This window comes from Homo sapiens, chromosome 6 (assembly GCF_000001405.40).
Source record: "Homo sapiens chromosome 6, GRCh38.p14 Primary Assembly".
In the NCBI taxonomy this organism is placed as follows: domain Eukaryota; kingdom Metazoa; phylum Chordata; class Mammalia; order Primates; family Hominidae; genus Homo; species Homo sapiens.
Genome location: NC_000006.12, coordinates 78,515,162 through 78,540,060, shown reverse-complemented (window position 1 = coordinate 78,540,060; position 24,899 = coordinate 78,515,162). Strand labels below are relative to the sequence as shown.

General features: G+C 37.7%; 1 non-coding gene across 1 annotated transcript; it reads left to right on the top strand.

Annotated features, from left to right (window-relative positions):
* The first annotated feature begins 751 nt into the window (after window positions 1-751).
* Window positions 752-798, top strand: MIR10524 (microRNA 10524). The gene has a single exon (NR_162115.1). It is a non-coding gene; the product is annotated as a microRNA 10524 (primary transcript).
* Window positions 799-24,899: the final 24,101 nt, after the last annotated feature.

Sequence of the window (24,899 nt, the reverse complement as noted above, 5' to 3'; positions counted from 1 at the left end):
TTATTTTCACTTAGCTCAAGGCAGACAACAATGGTAAAAACTCGAAAAACATTGTTGTATCAAATACATGATTATAGCCTGATTTAGAAGTAATCCTCTTTACTAAAATGTTACTCAGAATCCCTAAGGATAAAATAGAATTCCAGGTAGGATAGGATTAGTGTTAACTGGAGTTTTGAAATTTCTTAGTCCTAGGCACACCGACACAAAAGCATTTTCTAACATTTTATAAGGAAACTTATTTATACTGTGTCTAGCAATTTTTTTCTCTACTGTTCTTGTAGGTTGATATGCTTACCTAGAAAAATAATAGCGAGAAACTTAAGACAGTCTAGTTTTTAAAATTCATTTGATTTTCACTGGGTTATTCTATAACATATGTTTGCTTATTCCATATTTTAATACTTATATTCTCTTTTAACACTGAAATGCAATCATTATATGAAATATTTAAATGATTCATAATATTTATCTTTTCTCCTTAATACATGTAAGTGATGCTATATCCTAGCATCCATGTAAATGATGCTAATAACTTACGAAATATTTTAAAGTATCTCCAAGAACAGAAAAAAACATTTACTCTACTAGATTTTCTGAAAATATAAAGTGGAACCACACAGCTTCTGTCTGGATAAATGCCCTTAAAACCATAGGAGTTGTTTTAGTTAGTCCAGGCTGCTATAACAGAATATTACAGATAGTTGACTTAACAGACATTTTTTTTCTCTGGAGACTGGGAAATCTGAAGCCAGGATGCCAGCATAGTGAGTTCTGGTGAGGGCTGTTTTCCTGGTTTGCAGGTGGTTGTTGTCTCATTGTATCCTTACAGGGTGGAAAGAGATCCTGTGTTTCTTCCTTTTTTTTTTTTTTTTTTAAGCTAAAGGCATTAATTTTATTAATGAGAACTCCACCTCATGACCTAATTATATCTAAAAGGCCTAACCTCCTAATACCATCACATTGGGTGTTAGTATTTTAATATATGAATTTTGAGGGGACACAAACCTTTAGCACATAACAGCGGTTAATTATGTTTCAAATGCTTATGTTGTTGGTGGCAAGACCATCTCATTCAAATTGCACTTTTCTTAATCAACACATGTCATTCACATGTCAGGAGCAGTTTGAGCCTCAGCATAATGAGGACTTACGATAATTTAAAGGTTTGGATTATGTCTGAAAAGCTATATTAAATCTATGGGCAACTGCTGTAGATTACTAACTGGTCTTCCTGCCTCCATTTTTGTTCCCAGAGCTTATTTATTTCTCACATAGCAGGTAGAATGAACTTTTGAAAATATAAGTCAGACCAAATCCCCTATGTGTTCAAAATTCCTCTAAGAGATCATAGTTAGAGTATAATGAAAACTCCTTGCCATGGCCTATTAGGCCAAAACTTGTTTCCTGACCACTCCTTCTCATTCACTCTTCTCTAGCCCCTCTGGCCTGGCTCTGCTGCCAAACAGAACAAAGTTCAGCCCATTCCTGGCCCTTACACTTGCTGATGGATCTGCCTTTAGATCAACACAGGGCTTACTCTTACTTCATTTAAGTCTCTGCTCAAATATTTTCAGCGTGGTCCTAAGGGGGCTTTTCCTGACCACCCCATTGAAAAATGCTTGCTTCTTCACATAGTCTTTTTGCTTCCATTGACTTATTTTTCTTCACAACATTAGTTACTGTCTAAAACTATAATATTATTTACTTGTTTGCTTGTTTATTGTTAGCTTCCCTCTCTATAAGATAAGTACGCTGAGGGCAGAATCATGGAGCTAAGAGCAGTCTGGAGCTGAGAGCAGTGTATGGGCACGGTGGGGACACTCAAAGTTTCTGGTGAATGAATGAATCATTCACATTGAAATACAATGAGCAATGTTTCATTCCCCTGAATCATAATTTGTCATTCTGAATCCTATCTCTTATCACTTCTTTAGGGTGCTGTCTCTCCCAGATTATACCTTCTATGTACTCTTTTTCAGTTGCTGCCTCTTTATGTGAAGCTTCTTGTCCATGATCAGATAGTCTCAATTAGAATTATGTTCCCAGACCTTGCTTTCTAAGTGACAACTTTCTAAGATTCTTGCTTTTCAACTTTAAGATACAGTAATAATTACCTCAGGGATATTATGAAAATTTATTTTATGTGTTTCTTTATTCTTCTATTACTCAATCTCTCAAAGGCATTTGGCAAACTTCATCCTTCTTGAAACACGTTATTTCCTTCGCTTTGAGTATAAACTACTCTCCTAATTGTCTTCCCCTTTATTTAGCCCTTGCCTCTCTATTTCTTTCCAAATTCTAGTGTTAATATGTTCTGAAGCTAAATTGGTTTCTCCTCTTTTTCCTTCTCCCTCTGTTCTCCTCATCTCTCCCTCTTCCTCTGCTCCCTTTTATCTTCTTTCTAATATTTTATCTTTTGGTAATCTAAACCATCCTCATCATCCTCATTTCTTTAATTAACTTCTATTTCTCAATAAATTACAAATGTTTGTCTCCTGCCTTGGCTTCAGATTAATAAATACAACTGCTGAGTTGATACATAACTTAGATGTATATATCACTTTACTTATTCAAAATTAGATGTATATTTTGCTTTACTTGCTCAAAACAGTTGTCTTGATTCCCTCTACTTAATTCTTTCCCTCTCTTCTCTATTAGTGACAACATTTATACTTTCAGTTGCTCAACCAGAAACCTAGGTTTTACCCCGATACTTGTCTTCTTTTCATTACCCATGCCCAATTGACCAATTGACCAGCAAGATTTGCATGTTCTGCCTCCACATTGTCTTCAGTCATCCATCTACTTTTCTTCATCTTTTCCACACCTCAGGGGAGAGTCTTCCAATTATTTCCTTTATGTCCACTCTTGAATTTCTCTCCAAATTTGTTTTCCACCCTGCAGCCAGGACATGTACTTCCAACCATACGTAACTCTCTTGCTTAAACAAACATTTCAGTGGCTTTCCTTTGCTAATTCAGTAACATTGACTTCCTCATAATGCTCTACTAGGCATTCCATGGCTGGCATTTCTAATCTTTATTAACCCAGGTCTTTCATATCTCCTCCCAGCTAATCAAACTCCAGCTTCACTCATTTTCTTTCTTTTTCTCAGACAAACGAGACCATTTCTTGCCTCAGGATATTGTCACTTGCCTCTCCTTTTGCTCAAGGTGGTTAATTTTCTAGACCATCATATGGCTGGATCCTTCTTATCCAGGTTTTAGCCTAAATGTTATCTTCTCAAAGAGACCTTTCAACCTAACCTGTGCCTTCTGCCTCCAAGCTCTTCTGTTATGTCTTCCAGCTTATTTCCTTTATGATAGTTTACATTCTGAACTTAGTTTTTTTCTGTTTACCTTTTTCACTGTTCATATTCCCTAAAGCCACCATATCCATGAGGGCAGAAAATATGTTTTTGTTCACTGTTATGTCCCTGAATCCTAGAATATTGCACAGACCATTCAACTAATATTTATTGAATGAATGAAATGAGATTACACAAATAATGCACTTGGTATTGTGTTGGTACACAGTGGGTGCTTAATAAACATTAACTCTTGTTAAAAGTATTGTTTCTCTCTGATCTTGTGACTTCAACATTGTAACCTGGAAGAGAGAGATTGATAAAGGTTATTGCTTCTACTCAATGCTTAAAACAGTTAATTATGTTTCCTTCTTTCTTTGAAGTAAGCCTAAGAGATACTTTTAGCAGCTCTCTCAAAAGAGGAACTACCTGGCCGTATTATAGTCTTTAGTCCTAGTAAACATGGGGTGGTGGGGGGCAGGCATTCAGGCATTAATTAATTTACTCAATATTTGTTGAGTACTTATTAAGGTCTCAGGTCTACTTTAGTTCTGTGGAAAGTAAATGTGATTGTTTCTGCAGTGTCATTGAGTAAAGTAAATTAGTTACGAACTTTATAACAATATATGAATAATACAGTAAGTGCAAGGAGAGAAAACTTTTTTCCCAGGAGTAGTATCTGGAATGAGCTTTAAAATATAGGTAAAGAGGAGAGGTTCCTGTGATGGCTGTTTCAGATACCTTATTGGATGCTTTATGGGAAACTTCTCCTCAAATATGTTCTATTTTCCTCATACTTCCCTTTCTGCGACAATCATGTAACCTGTCATCCAAGTGAAGAAACTACCTTTCTACCTCCAAAACTATGACCAGATTGGGTTGACTCTGTATCGATCCTGTAATTCCCTCTCTTTGTATCCTTTTGTAATTGCCTTTGTTCTGGCATTTGCCCCTCCAGCCCACTCTCCATTTCATTGTCACAATAATTTTTCTAAAACAGTAAATCATTGTATTTCTTGAAATTCTCCAACAACTAGGGATTTCCTGTTGTGTGTGTGTATGTATGTGTTTTAAAATATTCCTTTGAATAAAATAGAAACTGAGTTCAACATACATTATGCTTTACTCCAGAACATATAGTCTCCACTCAACTCTGAGAACTCACTTTCAGTTTCCCACACTTGCCAGAGCCTCCTTCACATCTGTGCATCAGCACATATCTTCTTACTAGGTCTAGATAATTCTTGTTCATATTTTAAAATTCAGCTCTGATATCATTTCCTCCTGAAAGCTCTCCCTAATCCAACTTGGCCTAGATGGTTACAACTTTGTGTTCTTGTGATACTACTTCCTGGTACTCAGTCTTTTCACACTGTGTTCCCTGTTGTTCTCTTCCTGTGGAATCATTGTCTTTCATGCCTGTGATTTCAGTTCCGAACATAGTCTATTATACATATTTTTATTTTTAAATAGTTATTTGTGAAATATTATATAGGCCTGAGTCTCAATATATCAAAATCTCTCTACTAAGGAAAGTATGGGCTATAGAATATATCTATTCCAATCATTTTCTTCTGACCTATGTGCTATTACAGCCCATTATTTGTTCTGTCATTTTATTTTTTATTTTTTTATTTTTATTTTTTGAGACGGAGTGTCGCTCTGTCCCCCAGGCTGGAGTGCAGTGGCGCGATCTCCACTCACTGCAAGCTCTGCCTCCTGGGTTCACGCCATTCTCCTGCCTTAGCCTCCCAAGTAGCTGGGACTACAGGCTTCCACCACCACGCCCGGCTAATTTTTTGTATTTTTTGTTGTTGTTGTTAGAGGTGGGGTTTCACCGTGTTAGCCAGGATGGTCTTGATCTCCTGACCTCATGATCTGCCTGCCTCGGCCTCCCAAAGTGCTGGAATTACAGGCATAAGCCACTGCACCCGGCCTGTTCTGTCATTTTTAATTCCACACATTACATATTGTTTTGCCTTTTTATTCTTAATCCAAACAGTGTTTAATGAGAATTTTCTACACATTTACCAACTATTTTGTTCTTCATTTCCTTTTTTGTCTTATACTTCTCTTTGGTGTGATTTTCCTTTTTCTTGGAATCCCTCCTGGTAGTTCTTTATTGGAGTTCTGTCGACAGTAAATACATCACGCCAGTAATCCTAGCACTTTGGGAAGCTAAGGCATATTATAGTAGGTAAAGGCAAATGCAATTATCCGGTAATATCTATACAATCTGGAAGTTTACATCCTGTTTGGCTTCTTGGACAACTTCTGCCTTATATTGAGCAGCATTTCAAACTCAGCATTCATCCTTTTTCACATCTCCCAAAACATCTTAGGTCAGCAAGACCTGTACTAGAGTTCAGAAACTGAGGCAAAGAAAAAAATGAGAACATCAAAAGACTTTAATATCTCATGTTAACAATGGAACAAATGAAGAAATAATAGTTGCTAGGTGTTAATGGTATAATTCTGATAATAAAATAGATTTTTCCTTCTGTCTTTTATAACAAAGTAAATTGTTTTGTGAAAGAGAATTCTTAAGAGATGGTCTTGCCTATGTTTAATCATGTCCATTGATGGCAAGTTTATTCCCCCTTGAAGTGGTTCATTCATCTTAGTGGAAAACATAATGTAGAAGGCCTTAAATGAGGCTGAGTAACAACAATGGAAATATAAACAACTGCAGGAAGTGCTAGAGGAGAGAAAGAGGCAAAATGTCATGTTTTTCTAAAAACATGAGGATGCAGAGTTCATAACAATACATTTGGGATTTTAATATTAACCTTAAAAATCTAGAAAATATTATTTTAGAGATTCACTGATTAAATGTAAGATTCTAAACTTGGTTGCAAATACTACCATCAGAAATAAAGATAGGAGAGGATTTGGCAGCATCACATTTGAGAAGGGAAATTTTTGGAGTTGAAATAGAGGATAAATTCAATATGGTTTGTCTGAAAAAAGAGATCATGCAACTTTCTCTTTTAAAATTCCCTTTCAAGAGAGAATTTTTCTTGTTAGAGAAGACAAAAACATTACATAATCTCTATTTTCTTTATTATTCATCAGAATTATACTATTGACCTCAAGTAGGCCATGTAGCACTTCTCTGTTTGTTTTATTACTGAATACAACCATCTGAGGCTACGTTACGAGAAATGTAGTCTTGAATAGGAAGTGATAGTCGCTCTGTATCTGCAGTGCAGCTAATGTTCAGATACTTGGAGCATGCATTCAATTTTGAAAGCCAGATCATAAAAGCTATTGGAACAACTGCAGACATTTTAGGGAATGGTCAGGAAGATGAAAGAACTCAAAATCTTGCCCTACAAAAGATGGTGGAAGATATTTAATCCAGAAAAAGGTAGGTGTTGAAGAAACATGTTAACTATTTTTCTCTCAATTTAAAGAAGAAAATTCCAGTTGCCCAGAAATCAGTCAGCCTCTTTTGGAGAAGTGAGTTTCCCATCAATGGAGATGTTCAAGCACTGAGTGGACTATTATTCACCAGGGATATTGTGGGAATATGTTGTCAGAAATGATGAGGAATTAGGTCCATTCTAAATTTGAAATTCAGTAGATGGTGAAGTACTTCATATATTAATATTTTGTTTTTAAATTGAGCTACTCCTGTCAAATTAATTGAACGACTACTCTTTTTAGTAAATTACGTAATTTATTCCGTAATTTATTCTAGGAGAGCTAGCCATTCTAAACAGAATAATCCTCTTAAGTATGGTTTTGAGGGATGGTGACTTAAATTTAACAGCTCAAACTAATTCTGAGGCAACATCTGTCAAAACCAAAGGAGGAAGCCTGCTGCTTTTTTAAAATTTTATTTTATTTTATTTATTTTTCATATTTTTTTTATTGCTGAGTCTTGCTCTGTCGCCCAGGCTGGAGTGCAATGGTGCGATCTCAGCTCACTGCAGCCTCCACCTCACAGGTTCAAACAATTCTCGTGTCTTAGCCTTCCAAGTAGCTGGGATCACAGGTGTAGGTCACCATGCCTGGCTAATTTTTGTGTTTTTAGTAGAGATGGGGTTTCACCATGCTGGCCAGGCTAGTCTTGCATTCCTGGCCTCAAGTGATCTGCTTGCCTCGGCCTCTCAAAGTACTGGGATTATAGGCATGAGCCACCATGCCCAGACAGTCAGCGGCTTTCTTAACAGGCCATGTTTGAAGCCTACTATGAATTTGAGGCCATAGTTGATAACAATTTGTCTATATCAGCGGTTCTAAAGTAGGGGCATTTTGCAACCCAGGAAACATTTGGCAACGTCTGGAGATATTTTTGGTTTTCAAAACTGGAAGGGTTGCTAATGTTGGCTAGAGACCAGGGATGCTAGTAAATGCACAGGACAGTCTCTCAGAGTAAAGAATTATCTGGTACAAAATGTCAATGGTGCTAAGGTTGAGAAATTCAGGCCTAATTAAGAGGTCTCTTCCCCTTGATCCCAATGTTACTCCCTTTCTTTATCCACAGATTCTATTTTTATCTGTTGTTATTGTTGTCTTGTTGTTGCTTTTTAACATGTATTTTTATTTATCCTGAATAGGGAACACAAGATTTCTGGATCAGAAAATAGACTAATTATTTCTAATAGAGCATCTTGCTATCAGTTCGCCAGACCCCACTTTCCCACAGGGAGGTACTGTGAAGGCCTAGTGACCCTATGCATGCACCATGGGAGAAGAACCCCAGAATTACGAATCTTGGAGCTTATATAGGGTGGCTGGAATGTGTATGCATTCTGCCACCAGAAGATGCAGGGAGCCATTTTCTCTGGATTGTAAATAATTCTTCTCTGGAAAGAGGAGGGGAAAGGTCTTTATTCATCACCCTGGAAGGTAAAAGCATAGCTCCAAGGAAAGTTAAGACTTTATGTCTCTCAGGGGTCTCTATTTTTAAAATTTCTATTCAATTATTCTTTAATCCAGCTTGCCAGCAATCTCTGTTCAGAAAGCTCTCACCACGAAGAAACATAAAAATTATCCATAAAACATTGAATACAAACACTATTCAGAAGTTTATTCCTTTTCTCGCCCCTGCCATCTAATTCTCCCTCATCTCCCTGTATGTCTCCTTAAGTAGTTAAGAGTTACCTTGACTGCCATTCTTGAACTATTGAGAGAAACTCATGATGCTTAAATGAAGCTCTGAACTCTTGGATTTCCTTAAAAACAAACAAGATTCCTCCAAATGAAGTGTGTGTGTGTGTGTGTGTGTGTGTGTTTTAAAATAGAAATCTGTGTGCCTAATTTACCTTATTTGAACTATAATGAAATGTGATTTTCACAGGTTATGGCTCACTAAAACTTTAGACAATATTTTCCTGAAAAGTGTGTGTAAATTTAATTTTTGTAAATTTAATATTAACCACACAAAGGGAGCACTGTGTTTAGAGGAACTCTATGATGAACGCTTTTGTAAAGTGGTTTCCAATGTAAATGTGGTCTCACGTTTAATTTCTCTCGTGAAAGCACATAGAAACAAACTGAAAGAGTCTTGCTTCTGAATTATTTTCTGTTTGTTTCTTGGAGGCTATTAATTTTATACACTGAAGACTGTCTTATATCCAATAATTTTAGTTGAACGAGAACTAAAAATTTTAATTAAAAGCCCACTAATTTGGGTAACTGTGCCACTTTGTTGAAGAGAGTCTCATTTCCCATACACACCATTGTTTCAATTTTGGCCTTTTCACTACCTTACCTTTGTTTTTAAGGCTTGTGCAGCTTAGCTGCATTCAGCTTTATGTTCTGAAGAGCTCATAATGTGCGGGGATTTACTTGAGACAGTCTGTTCACAAGTTGTCTGGATTGTTTTGAAAATAATATTTAAAAATGTACCTTTTAAAAATACAAATCATATTCTGGTTTGTTCCCTATATTACAGCAATAATTAATTGCTATCTGATAGAATTCCTCTCTTAGTTACAAGCAAATAGCTATAAGGTTTAATTATTAAAGCGCTCTAGGCAGGGAAAATCTGTGCCTACTGTAGAAATGCTTGTTTTGTTGCAACTTTAAGTAGTTTTTGATATTTTCCTTTGACATTCATCTCTTTCCAGACACATGTATAAAATTAGGTGCGAATTTTGAGTGTTCACAGGTGCCTTGCATGCATCACCTCATTTAATTTCCATTATAACCCAGTTGAGTAGGTATTTTCATCTCAGGAAGAAACATTTCAGAGAGCATGAACATTGCTCACTAGGACCGAGAAGCTTAGGAACAGCACAGAGAGGATGGTGTGGCATCACAGTCCCTGTCAGTGCTGGGTGTCCTCGTGGTGTGAGCCTCAAAGGGACAGAGTGGCCCATGAAGGCAGCATTGGTGGTGCTGTCCATGGTGACACTGGGGATTTAAGAAGACTCTCAGTGTAAATCGAGACCAGAAAAGATGCAATAGAAGTAAATCAGTATGTCACAACAAACTCAGTCACAGGAAAGGAGAATGAAGTGGGTAGTGTATGGAAGGTAATATTTTCAACTTTTGTGTTCAAAGTCTAAAAGGTGAGCTAGTTACTATGTTTTAAGCAAATAAAAGATTTTTGATGCATGAGTTTTGTGTCTAAAGACAACCAAATTAGAGAACGTGACTTCACATTTAAATTTTTCCTGGGCACAAGAAAGCCTCCTAAACACCTAAATGATAAAGTCACTCACTCATTTTCTCATCTTGTCAGTCAATTACATTTATGAGCACCAGTGTGTATGTACCAGGCAGTATTCTAAAAAGTGGGGATGCAGAGGTAAACAAAACTGTCAAGATTCCTGGGAAGATCCTTGGGCTAACTTCAATGTGTCTGTGTGTGTCTCTGTGTGCAAGTTGATAACAAACAAATGCATAACTAAACAAGAGCAACAATCAGTGAGTGATTAGAACTATGAACAAAATTAACATCCAGTAATGCCATACAGGATGACACAGTGGCTACTATTGATTGACTAGTCAAGCAATACTTCTCCGGAAAAGAAATTTATTCCAAGATCTAAATGACAAAGAAATAGACATGCAAAAGTGGGGGTTGAGGAGAGTGGTGGGGGCCCTTAGTACAAGGACTGTACAGCCAGAGAACAATCTTTCTGAGTTTGGGAAACCTGGGGTGGGGCTAGTGGAAGATGAGAAATGCAGTGGTAAGAGATGAGGTCACCGAGGACTGCAGGGGTAGCTTTTGCTGGGCTTAAGTGAATTTTATTCCAAATGCAATGGGAAACCTCTGAAGGCTTTTAGGCAGGACACTGAAAAGTTAAGATTTGTTCAATCTCCTTGTCTATAAAGTAGGTATAATATTTACAATAGTCTCAATATATATTCTATCTTTGTGAAAAATAACCCACCACATATTAAATGCTCAATAAATATTACAAATATAATATATATCTGTTAAAATGGCCATTTTTCTTCATAGAAATATACCGTAGATGCTGTAAAGCTAATATCTTGGAGATTTAAAGAGTAGCAGAGATGCCAACTACTTTTATTTAGTGCCTTCTGTATTATATTATCCAATTTAATCTGCACTTCAACTTTCTTCAGGGGAAGAAAGGTTAAGAAACTTGCTCAAGGTCACACAGCTAAGGGCAGAACCAGAATTTCAGTTTCACTGTCGGTCCTTCTGACTCTGAAGTTAATGCTCTTTCTTCTGTGCCATGTGACACAAGGAAAATGTGTGCCCTGCATTCTCTTGTTGGCCTGTGTTTGTAGCAGATGATCTCTTCTCAAAGGCCTTCCAGATTTTATCGAGCCTGGATTTTATGAGTAGTTTGGCACATCTACTATAAATCACAAAACAGTCTGCAGTAATTTGTTCTGGGCATCACCATATTTGACTAAATGATACAGTAAAGTTGTATTTATAATTCAAGGATTCAGTTCTTTACATCTCTACATTTTATGTGTAGTCATTGAGAGGAAAACTACCAAAGAAATAGTCCCTGACTGAAGAGAAAACAGTGCTAAGGGCACTGTTTAAATACAAGATGTTATTATAATTGTTATTATTAAATGGATTACTGAGAGATAAATGCAGCAATAAAAAGAACATTTCTCCAGTTACCTAAACTGATGTATTCCACATGAAAGAGAACTTCCCTAAGGCACTAGTACACAGAAGATGATTGAATGAAAGGCTTTGTAGTGGAGAATTAAAACATGCCTGGGACAAGGAGGCTGTGCACTTAGATAAGTTTCATCGATTGAAGAAGCCAGCAGAGGCAATGATGGTACTGCTCAGTTACTCCTGGTGCAGGTGATGTGATGTGAGCATCTTTCATTGCTAAGGACTCACTTCCACTTTTATCTCCACCATGGCATCTTTGTGGATACGTGAGAGCTCTTGATAATACTGGGCTTTGTCAGTATTTGAAAGGTTATCAAGATTCTGCTGTCTTCAAAGATGGACAGATATTGACAAATAAAAACAAACCAGTCATCTGTATTTAAAATGGAAGAAAATTAAAATTTACCCTCACCTGTCTCTGCTGTCATTAAATCAGTTGCACTAAACTGCTTTACTACAATTCTTACTATTTCTTCTCTTTGATTTCTAAATATCTTTTCAATGAAAGATAATTTAAAAATAAATCACATTAGATGGTATAACTAACTAGTAAAGCTTATTCTAAAACTTTGAAGGCTTTTAATCATCCAGTAAGTGCAATGCATAATGTAAAGATTAATCAGTATGCACAAATGTATTCCTCTTTCTCTGTTTTTATCCTTACATTTTATCTTCCCATGAGAATAGAATTAGAGGTTTGGACTTACAATATTCAAGGTGGTTTAAGTTGTTTTTTGAGTGTTTTCTGTAAACCAAACACTATTCTAAGTTTTTCAGTGAAAAAAATGGTTTCTGCTCTTATGAGGTAGAGGCCCATCTTGGCATGATGATAGGCAATAAGCCCTATTCATAAGAAATATCTAAATTATATAATCTGCTAGAAGATGATGGTTGTTCTTGGGAAAACAAACAAGAGTAAAGACTTGAAGGAGATGATCATAGGATATTCAGTATATTTAGACTTTTTTAGTTCAAAATGATTATAGGCTAATGTTCAACATAAAAAGGAAAAGTTAATTTTGTCTGTGTCACAGAAAATGGATGAATTCGTAGGACCGCGCAGAGGTTTTTAAAGCAGGTTTTGCAGGTTTTCTCTCCTTTGTTAATTGCATGTTTTATTTAAACTACTTTTATAATCAGATGTCTCCAAAAGGAGCATCATCTCTTTCACTATTGGATGAACATGTTGTATGTTCCCCCATTTGTTCAGGGTATAGCACATTAGCTCTGATGAAAACAAACAGTAACAAAAACAAAAACTCCCCATATGTTGATGAAAAAAAGAACTAAAAGCTAGAATGATATCACTTTAGAACAGGACAAGTTCTTAGAGATAATTCAATCCCACCCCATTATGTCACATCTGGGTGTTTTGGCTCCAGCCCAGTGGTAGTTCTGACCACTGGGGTTGATCTCTTACCTCTGATCTATAAAAAGAATGACAGTCTCACAAGGGGATCTCTAACATGCTTGGAAGAGCATGTTAGAAGCATGCCCCAAACATTTTATTTTCCAACACACACCTTCATGAGAGAAGGAGAATAATCTATCCACTCCCCAGAGAACATGTTAGAAGCATCATCTCTTTCACTATTGGATGAACATGTTTTATGTTCCCCCATTTGTTCAGGGTATAGCACATTAGCTCTGATGAAAACAAACAGTAACAAAAAAAAAAAACTCCCCATATGTTGATGAAAAAAAGAACTAAAAGCTAGAATGATATCACTTTAGAACAGGACAAGTTCTTAGAGATAATTCAATCCCACCCCATTATGTCACATCTGGGTGTTTTGGCTCCAGCCCAGTGGTAGTTCTGACCACTGGGGTTGATCTCTTACCTCTGATCTATAAAAAGAATGACAGTCTCACAAGGGGATCTCTAACATGCTTGGAAGAGCATGTTAGAAGCATGCCCCAAACATTTTATTTTCCAACACACACCTTCATGAGAGAAGGAGAATCTATCCACTCCCCAGAGAACAAACCTGGGCAAAAGAGTCCACACCTTTCCAACCTCTAGAGAGCACCAAAGAGATGTACCAACACATGAGCTCTTACCTCTTGTGAAATCTCTCAGAGGTCACGCCCCTGCCAACATACTTGGTTTCTGTGGGACTTGCGCAGAGGACTAGACCCCCGCTCCACAAAGTGTGATTCTGTCTTGGAGCAGCAAAAGTGGCAGCATCTGGGAGCTTGTTAGAAGTACAGAATCTTGAAGGTTCTCCCAGACCTGCTGAACAGGGAGAGGATCCATAGGTAATTCAGGTGGCAGTAAGGACTGAGACACACTGGACTGAAAAAAACTCCGTGGGGGCTTTCCTGACTAGGGAAAAGCACCTCCCTGCTTTGAACTTGACCTTTGAATCCTGCACAATGCCTCTCAACAGCCAGCCCATCTGTGTTCTGGGAGAATTCAACCAACTATTCCATGCTAATAGTTATTAGACCAGCTTGACTGATTACTATGTCTAGTGCCCAATTTTGGCAGGCCTGTGGGCCGGTTTCTGAATGTGTTTCCCTTAGATGGAGGGGTGGATGAGAATTTGAATGGAACAAAAGAGGACTGTGCCAGTTCTCCCAGACATCTTGCACTCTGGCCAAACCCTCCCCTTTGCCCTCTCTTCCATGTGAGCCCAAATGTTTTAATCTCCTTTCTTTCTCCACTAGAGAATCTGGCTCTTTGAGCATTCAACTGTTCATTTGCTACACATTTGTTTAACATTATTGCAAATATTAGGGGATATTGTATGCAGGGGGGGACCTTGGTTTGGGGGAAAAAAAATAGAAAAATTATCCTATCTGCTCCAATACCTGAATTATTTTTACTTCTGTATTTTGTTCCTTTCTGACTTATTTTGATTTTGATATCCTATCCAGTTCTGTGCTTGCCTTTTGGAGATCCCAGGCTACTCATTGTTTACCTAATCATCACTACTCTGGCTTTCAGTAGAGCAACTCCGTCTGCTCTTATGTGAAATAAGCTTGTTGTTCCTTCCTTCCTTGGGCCAGGTGGAGGATCTCAGAATCACAACAGTTTTCCATTCTTTGCTTCATTTTCTAGATAACACTTATATGAGGCAAGGATCACTATTGTCTCAATTTTATAGACCAGGAAAATCAAAACTCAAAAAATTAAAGGGTTTCTTCAAGGTGCAACCCTTGGAGTTTATTGCTGAAGGAGACAGGTCCTGATGATGGATAACTGCAAAGGAAGTAAAAATTCAGTTTAACTTAATTTGAACTTCTAAAATATGTTTTAGGCAGGTTGTTTTAAGAAATAAGAGCTAAGATTATAGAGCCCAACCTTGTGCCCATGATGGACTAATTTACGGATGAGCAGACTGAGGGACAGGAAGGTTAAGAAGCACAGGAATTATCAGAGCTGGTGTATGAGCCCAGGCAATCTGTCTCCACTTTACTGTCCTATCTTGCAGTACTAAAGAATATGTAGGAACTACTTAAGAAAACACAAATATAGGTGTTTTCAATTATTCGTAAAACCCTACAGAAGGTAAAAGTTTTGTAAAGGGCAGGAAGTTCAGTTTTAGAAGAGCCAGATGCAATAATGCCTTATGTTTGAACAGAGATTTTCTCCAAAAAGATCAGTAATTTGCTTTATATCCCTGCCCACCTTCTGACCTAAGGCCTTCTTTGTTAATAAGGAAAAGATTAAAGGCGTGAAGAGAAAAAAATGAATTTCTCTATTTAAATAATCAAATAAAGTGGTGATTGCAGCTGAATACTCAGCTAAAACTTCAGCAGTCAAATGTGAACCAGCCTGAGATTAGAAGGGTTTAAAGCTCTCAAGCAAATCTGTAAGAGGTGGATCAGGGTCCACTCTTCATCAGAGCTGATTGTAGGTGGATGTTTAATGAGCACATGATATGTCTTCTGAAACAGAAAAACACCTTTTGAAATATAAGTTGACATTCACTCAGCTCTCCAAGATTCAGCCTTTCTATGTGATTGTGTGCTTCATGCTCATGTGCCAGAAATAAAAATAAAGTCTGGGAGTGGCAGGAAGATTCTGGGGCTCTGTGAGATGGGCTGATGCTTCAGGTGGCATATTTATTCCACGAATTGGAATAAATATGACAGATCAGCTTGGTCCATTCACTAGACTTGCACAAGGAGAGAGCGTTGGGGAAATACACTGGAGTCACATGTGTCAGGTGTTCTACTTTCTAAACTACCTTCAGGTGCTTAATTAATCCAAGGGGAAAAAATGTGGTTTATTTCCCAATAAGGATGGAAAGGCATGTTGGAAATTCCTCTGGTCAGTCAGTAACCAGATGGACACCCAATCCTGTAGATATTTCACTGAAGCATCTGTGGAAGAATGCATTGTGGGGACATGGGAAATATGGTCCCAGGGAAAATCTCTTTTATTTCACCATGGGGGTTCTATGCTTGCTCATGGCTTAGGAGTAGAGATAGGAATTGTTTCAGGTTATCTGAGGCTAATCCCAGAGCCTACTCTGAGCTTCAGGCTATGTTCTTGAGGCCATGTGTCAATTTTGATACATATCCTCGGGTGGTTTGTGTCCAGTGGAGCTCAGTGCAGTTTTGACTTTCAGTGTCCTCTCTGAAAGTTTGAGAGGAAATAAAGGAAGTAGGGAAGGGATATGTGAACTCTTGGGCTACTTCTCAGTATAATTTGGAGTCCTCTGGTACTGCTGACCCTCCCCAGAGCTGGCACACTAGTTCTTTATGCAACACTCCTAGGACATGTTCCATGCTACTAAAGCTGTTTGAAGCAAAGCATTGGCAGCAAGAAGGCCTCAGCTTTCATTTATTGGAATACAAATGACTACTAAAATGCAGTTTCCTGTTTGCACAATTACTATGGTGTATACATTTATAGAACACTCCTTGGGCACTTTAGCTGTGGGGGAGTACCAACAGAAGCATTTTAGTCATTTCTAATCTATGTTTACTTTTTGTTGTCACAGAATTTCTCTTCTGAATCCTTAGATATGAGATAAAGCAATCAACAGTTCCTTATTTAACATTCTCTAAGGTTTCTCCAAGTCAGGCACCATACAGGGCAAGTACAAAGTTTTTGTTCTTGGAAACCTGATGGGAATACAGTATATATGCACATATATAACAAAAGGCAAAAGGCATTCTGTTATCATTTGATATAAATATATAAAATATATATCTGAACATACACATGAAAGTATCACCTCTTAAAATCCTTTAAGTAACATTTTTATTAAATAACTTTAAGAAAACTGTATTGACCACACAGAAGCACATGTCCAGCATAATACATAAAATCAACACTTTAACCTAAAAGCAATGTCTAAAAATAATGTTATTAAACTTAAAAATAATGTTGTTCACCAAAATTTCTGTAAAGACTGATAAGGGCCTATTTGTACTGTCGTTTTCATTTACCCCATGATTTAAGATATCTCAAAATGGCCCCTTATGTTTAGGGAGTAATTGCGAAGTAAGAAAACAACTGGTTGAGGCATGCATGCCTTTTTATATCACAATCATTAAACATGTTTTCTTTAAGGTACTAGCAATAGCAGCCTAAGAATCAGAACCAAGGATGCCATTTATTCTGGTGAGAGGTGTTTTGTCAAGCTTAGTGACCTGGGTTAGAATCTTTTCCCTATCACTTTATAGCTGTATGTCCTAGAATAAGTGACTTACAATTGTTAAACTGTTTCATCTGCTGACAATGGGGAAATAATAGATTCTAGGGTTCCCATGAGTATATAAAGCATACATACAGTATATAAAATGCTTAGCTCTAGTGCTTGGTTTACGATAAACACTAAAGTTGTGTTATTGTCATGATCATGGATGTGTGAAGAATTTAAAAAGTTAGAAACCTTTCACTTTGATTTTGTTATTTTGTTCAGAACAATTAAGATTGTGCATTTCACATAGGCGTTAATAGAGCTTGGTTTGGTATCATCACAAATTGGAATGCGTTTATTCTGTGAGCTTTGCTCATGGAATATGGATTTATGAAGAGCTGTCTTACTACTTAAGTCTTAGAGTAGGTCAGAAGACATGATGAGGTTTAGGTTTAAGAAACTTAGCTGCTATAATGGGTGATGGCATTGCATCATTAGCTAATGTTAGGCATTCACAGCAAAAAGGGAAGTAGGGAGTAGAGCTATTGATTAGGTCTTCAGACAAATCATACAATGTAGTGAAAGTATAATTTCCTCGAAAGAGCTATGTCTATTCTTATAAGTAGTTCTCTGAAAAGCCATCAAGTTTGCTTGGGAGACTGAGGTGGGAGGATTGCTTGAGGCCAGGAGTTTAAGACCAGCCTGGGAAACATAGCAAGACCTCGTCTCTACAAAAAAAAAAAAAAAAAAAAAAGATAAGCCAGATGTCTTATCACATCCTAGCTCCTTGGCAGGCTGAAGTGAGAGGATCACTCGAATCCAGGAGTTTGAGGCTGCAGTCAGCTATGATTGTGCCACTGCATTGCAGCTTTGGTGACAGAGCAAGACCCCATCTCTTAAAAAAAAAAAAAAAAAGAAAAAGAAAAAACCATCAAGTAATGTTGTGGGAGCTCATTCTTCCCCTTACCAGAGAAAATGTTTTCCCACCTTCTACTTCTTCCCAGTCCTTGTCCTTACAGGAGGAAGGGATAGACTCAAGTTGGTCAGACTCAGATAGTCCCACGGCCATGTTTTATACTGTGGGAAAGTGGTGAAGTGTCACTCCTACCTCCTGAGATCTGACATAGGACTGCCTTCTCAGTCCCTCCAGCCTCAGCCAGTCTCTTGAATGCTCCTTTACACCCTGCTATGCATCCCAAGACCCTTATTTCTCTTGCAAGATCTTCAGCTTCCTTCTTTTCTACATGGCAGCTTGTATTGGGGCTATTTCCCAGGCATAAACCAGATAGCACATACCGCACAGTGCTGGATGCTGGGGGTAAACAAGGTCTTTCCAGCTGTCTGTCTTCCTTCTTTTGTTCTTGCACTGGTGTGCATGTTTTATGTTGTACTTTCCTTAGATTGCAGTGGTTTGATCTCACCCTGAGAATTGATCTTGATGTGCCTGTGCATTCGTCAGATGTGGGGAGTAAGTAAAGAGGCTCATTTAGGGATTTCAATATAAGTTACGGTCTCTCTCTATCTGGCTTTCATTAGACCATGACTTTGAGGCATTTAATAGGCTTCATCAAGCTGTTAACAAAGTTGATACTTTGTTCCCCATTTAGCCTAGTTTCTTTCTTTGGCTTTGTTTCTTAGTTACTTTCAGGTTTTAACAAATAGAAATATCTCATTTTTCAAAAGTTGAAAAGTCTGGTCCAATCTAGTCTCAAAGTCTCACAATCTCATGCAATCCAACCTTTTCTCTCCTTCAGGTCTGACTCAGCTCAGATTCCAAGATCTGCAGTGGGATAAATAGTTTAGTCTTTTTCATCACTCATTCTGATACTTTCCTTCTTCCTCCATTCACTGCTTCTAACTCATCTGGGATTGGAGAGTGTGAAGAAAAGATGAAACAGGTAAAGGAAGCAAAAAATATATATATATGTAGCTTGGATGATTTGACATTTCTCTTGGCTGCTAAAATGGCATCAACAGGGGCAGGTATTCAAATACTGACTTTCTCCTGTGGAGTGTTTTTCTGAGTAATTCCATTTGTAGATCTCTGTTTTGAGTGATGCCTCTACTGCTTGAAAGTCCTCTCTAGAGGCTCATCCTGCCAGACTTTCTGTTAGAATCACTCTGGGGATACCTTGCTTCTCCAGGTGTGCTTTTAGGTGGACCCATATCTGGTCCATGGGAAACAATTATCTTGCTGTTGATGGAAGTGCAGCACACTACCATTCCACCCTGGCTGTCTCTCCTCTTGTCTTCAGGAGAGGCTGCAGCCATCCTCTTGACTGTAGACTTTTCCAGGCGACAGTCACAAGACCGTGGCCCTCAAACTCCAGTTCTTTGTGTGGTTCTCAGAAGCTGTCTTCCTTAGCTTTAGGCATAGAAAGTGGACTCTCCCTCTGCTCTTGGAAACTGGGAGACTCAAAGTGAGTCACAGCTGAGAGTTTCAAAACTGGTTCCCAGTATCTTAGCATGTCCTCCATAAGTGATATTTCACTAATTGTTCTGTAGAAACTCCGAGAAAATAGGAAAAGACAAATTTAACATTTTATTATACTTACATATAGATGCATAGTATGTGATTACTAAATGAACCACATTTACTAATAATACAAGAGTGTTATTCAATTAACACTCTTGAAATCTTAAACTTGGATATAGCCCAATCCTTCAGTGGAATTTTAGTTTTAACCATTATTTGATTCCCAAGAAATGGACACTCACTGTTTCTGGTCATAAATCATATGATAGATATTAAAATCAATGAGGACAGTCGCTTTTTGTCAGTTAAAAAGGGCTTGGAATTTTAATAGTAGGGATTAACACACCTGTAGCTTAGACCTCTAAATAGCATACTATTCTCTGGCTACATAGTTGGAATTTGAGCTGCAAACACGGCATAACTAATTGAAACATGTATTCTTTACCTCTAGCCCTTTATTGTTTTTCTTGCAGGTATTTGCACAAGGATGGTCCTAGGGCTGTAAGAAAATAGAGGTTCTGACAACTGTTTCATAATTCAACAGTTGAAAATGTAAAATTTTACAAACTGAGAAAATAGTTTATTAACTTTCGCCAGGTTTTTCCAGACCCTCCCTGGGCAGTAAAAAGCAATTTATAAAACCTGTTTTCAGTGGGAATTCAAATCTTCCTCCACAACATGTGCCTGCATAATCTAAGTGAGAATTGTTTTAAAACAAATACATTTAGAAATGAGCTATGGGGATACTTGAGGAAGCATGGTATAATCAGGATTAGTTTAGAAAATTCAAGATGGGAGCCTGCCTTTATTAACTGATTATTTTCCTTCAAGATGCTTTCTACTCTTAGGGGATAAGCACTTCATTTTATACTCTAATATTTTCATAAGTTTTATTGGCGTTCATTCCTAAGGTCATGTAATGGAAGAATACTTAATAGGTTTTATGACACTGGCCTTCTAGGTCCTTATAGTCTCAGAGCCACAGAGTAACCTGAAACATTTCTTATTTACTTCTTTTTGTGGACAGATGAAGAGATGCATAAGCTCTATCTTTGTGTTACCTTAAAGATAAAACATTAACTCCTTTTATTTTCCCTCTTCTCTGTTTCACTTTTTGGAGGAGTCTTGCAATTGTCAAATTTTTACTTTCAGGAAAGCCAAAGGGCAGTACATGAAAGATTAAAGTAACTTTCTGAAGAGTTGTTTCTAAGATCTGGAGGTGAAAAGAACGTCTGGAAATGAAAATGTTTGGATTATTTTCATTATATACGAAAACTCACTAGAGAGTTTGCCATTGCTTAAAGGACTGTAATGCACCTTGTTGGTGTTACTGTTGTTGGAGACGTGTACTTTCTACTTGCCTGACAATCAAAGAGTCCTTTAACCTAAAAGTAAAAACAATGAGGGGTGGCTTACTCACTGTAATGAGTGTAGCAAGTAGTTTGATATGTGAGACTTTCATTGGTGAAGAACAAAATCAAGTCACTGAAATATATAATTTTAGGGAAAAAATGTCTCCTTGAAAATTTCAGGATAGTCATAGATGTAAAAGGCAGGTGAATGGAAATGAATTAATCTCTATGATAACTGTAATCATCATACTATTGGAAGGGTCTTGTTGCTATTTAGGACAATTCTTGGAATCTCTCTGGATATATCTGGGGAGAAAAATGTTTCCAAACCTGGTTTGGCTCTAAGTTTAGACCTGCCCCCAATTTGAGAACTAACTTTGAGGTAATGTCTGGAGAGATGCATGTTCTGGAGAGACAGTTCTCTGGAGGCTGCGTTATGTTCAGATTGGGAAATATTTCTACTCATAGGCTGGTCCATGCACAAAGTGCGCAAGTGTTATTTTTGGGATAATAGTCTGTGCCACTATTAATTTATTGCTTCTTAGCTCCAAATTTACACTTCAAGGTATATCCCATGATAATAGAGGGAACTTCTTTAGGCATCTCTTCTTCCTAGTAAGTATAACACTAAGCTTTCTCAGCAGAGGGTGATGGGGAGGTATTGCAGGAGGAAGTGGCTCTCCTGCTGTTTTCTGCTATGGCAGAGGGAGGTGGGGTGGAAGGGCTTAGCAGTGTCTGAGTGTGAACATCTGGTAGAGAGGTCCGTTCCAGCCATGGGACCAGAGTCCTCAGCTACCTTGCAGCCTTGGCCTGGTGATAACCTTTCTGTGCCCCTTTTGAATTGAGAAGTGGTGCTTCAAAGGCTTCCTACTTGCACCAGCACCCAAAGGCCTCCCAATCCTACTGGCTCCCAGATTCCCTCTATACCCTGGAGGGATCTGACCCTTTCTGCATGCCCACACCACTGATTGTTGATCACTTGTTCTTTGCCTTCACTCTAGAGGGTTGCCTCCCACTTGCTCAATGACTGCAGACTAGCTCCAGGCTGGAACCAGAAAACTTCTGGTTTTCCATGAGCTGAAATATACTTTTTCCAATGAGGTCTAAACCCCAACCTTGGGGAAGGGATGCCTTTTGAAATTTGTTCTTCTTTGGGTACTCTCCATCTGCCCTGGGATACCATGTAGAATTCCTTATATCTTATTCTCCTTTATTATAGTTTAATTATTCTTTATATTAATCTTCCTTTGTTTAACCCACTTTGTAGTTTCTATCTCCAGATTAGACCTAGACTGCTACAGAGTCAAATATCAGTTATTCATATGGGTACAGAAAAGTGATTTATAGGTAATATCTGGATTGAAATGGGGGACACGTTTAAGGAAGTCAGCATAGTGTAGTAAGTGCAGTGTCTGTCTTAGGTCAGAAGATGTTTCATGTTGTGGTGATGCTAGAGGTGGTCTCCTGATGGGTGCTTTGTGGAGCAATTCTACAGGGTCGATGCCTCCCTGGGTGTGTCTGGCAAAGAGAGCTAATGTACTTTTAAGGACATTACCTGGGATAATGTGACACACGTGAGTGATAAAGAACAAGACAGCTCTTCTTTCAAGAATTATTTACCAAGTGCCTAGTGTGTGCTGGGCACTGTCCTAGGTACTGAAGAGACAGCAAGGGGAAAGAAAACCAGAACAAAACAAAATCTCTGCATTTGTTTTTACTTAGCCCTTTCCTTCATGTTGTCTTTTGCTTACCTGACACTTCAAGTTGGTGCTTCTCACTTTATACTTGGCATTCTTGTTATCAACAGAATAAAGCATTTCACATAACCTGGTTACAAGTGAAGTGGAGGGTGGAGAGGAGTGAGTTTGGAGCCGTGAATTTTATGAAACCAACCATTTTAAAGACAAATTTAAGTAAACAAGTCTTTTGAACAAACCTTTCAAAGAGATTTTACTGCCTTTAAATTAATAGCAACAGGTTAATGAAAAATTAGACATAGGTAGTGTGTGAAATTGGCTTTGAATTTCTCATTAATTAAGAATTCTCAGTGACCTGGCTGGTCTAATTACACTGGTTGGGAAATTTGATCATTAGTGAAACGAAACATGCAGCTATACCACTCACTTAAGAAACTCAAATGAGACTTGACATGGTCTCTGAAAGAATCAGTGTTACAATTACCTACAGCCCAGGGGAGACTCAGTGGGGCTAGACCTCAGCTCTTGGGTTCTTGCAATACATTTTTGCAGAAATGAATTTACTTCATTCATATGCCACTCTGCTTTGTTACTTATGAGAGGTACTAAATCTGTCATCAGAACATTTTTGATTACAGGACATATTAACAGAGTCCTTTATGATGATCAATTGTTTGAGTCCAAACCAGCAGTAGCTTTGACTTGTTAGAGAGGTTCACATATTTTCACTGAAGGTAATCACTGCTTTTTTTTTAAGGAATAAACTGCAAGAAGAATAATTCAGATTCTTTTGTCTTTACTTCAAATGGTCTGAGGTGGAGGGACACTGATGTTCTAAACTTGTTATTTCTTTATTTTCCACCCCCTGAGTCTTCACAGTTTTTGGGAAATTGAACTCACGATTGCTTTTTGCCCTTTACCTCTTTGTCTTTGTCTTCCCTAAAGTAAGAAGGAAGTGGGGGGCAGTGGAGGAGAAAATGCCCTCTGGATATTATGATGTAATAGGAAACAAGCTACTTGATACTTGAGAAAACACCATTCATTAGATAAGATAATATTTAAAATAATGTTGACATTTTATGGTGTACACATGAAAACCAGCTATTTCCTTGGACTAATATGTTCAAATTTTATGATTAGAATTTAATTCAAAGTTTATATTTGAGTGATACTACGGAGCCAGCAAATTAAAATGTATGTAGCATTTAAATGAGTGACAATATTTCAACAAAGTGTCTATAAGGAACTTTCATATTAAGAATTTGGTGAATGAGCCTAATTTGGCTTGTTTCAATGTGAGTATATATAAAAAAGATACATAGAGTATATATAAAAAAGCACATTTTCAAAGATAATTTTATTAAACCTTTAATGTATGCTGTTAGACCCATAATCACCTATAGTAATATTATCTTCCATTTATATCTTCCCTTTATTAGGCCCTGAGTACAGACCTTGATATTATACAGGCTCAGTAAAGGGGAAGCTACTATTCCTCTCAGTAAAGGGGAAGCTACTATTATGACAGCCTTGGTACACAGAATTCAAGACACATGCTATCCACGCAATGCAGTTATTTGGAGAACAGGATATCTGTGCCTTTTGAACAGCTGGACTTAAGGGTCAGGGTTGGAAGAAATCCTATTCTATGGAGGCAATACAGTGTGGAGAAAAGAGGACTCACCTCCTGAGACCTTGATTCTAGTTTGTTTTGCTACTAACCTACTATGTGAACTCAGGAAAGTGAATTAACCTCTCTGAGCCTGGGTTTCATCATATATAAAGTGAAGGGATTGAATTAGATGCCCTCCAAGATTCTTCCAGCCATCAAATGTAATTCCACCTTTTTGGGGGATTTAGTTTTTATGTGTGTAAGACTGTTATTAGCCAAGTGCAAACCAAAGGAAAGGCACATTTAAATGATTTGCTACACTCAGATTTAGTAGTCAAATTAGTAGTATTCCAGCCTCTTCAACTTCTATATATCGATGTTGAAGACCTTGCTTCACTGGTCTGACACTCAGAGCAGCAGGAAAGCAGCATAATTTGTTTCTCCAGAAACTGAACGAGGAAATCTGGTGATTTTGGCAGTTCATCTTTACTTCTGGGGAAAAAAAACCAACTGAATCCAAGAGCTTAAAAAATGTTGTTTGTAATTTTTTTTTTAAACAGAAAAGAGATTTAGTGATAACAGCAATGAGAGGATGCTTTCTTGAACCCAGCTCAATAAACACATATTGAACTTCTATTAAAGGTTTACAACCTCTTATCCATAAATCTGAAATCCAAAGAGCTCTAAAAACCCTGAGATCATTTAGTAGCAAGACCTGACCTGAATGGATATGAGGCTATGTACATTTTTTGTTTATCCTACTTAGTGTGAATACACA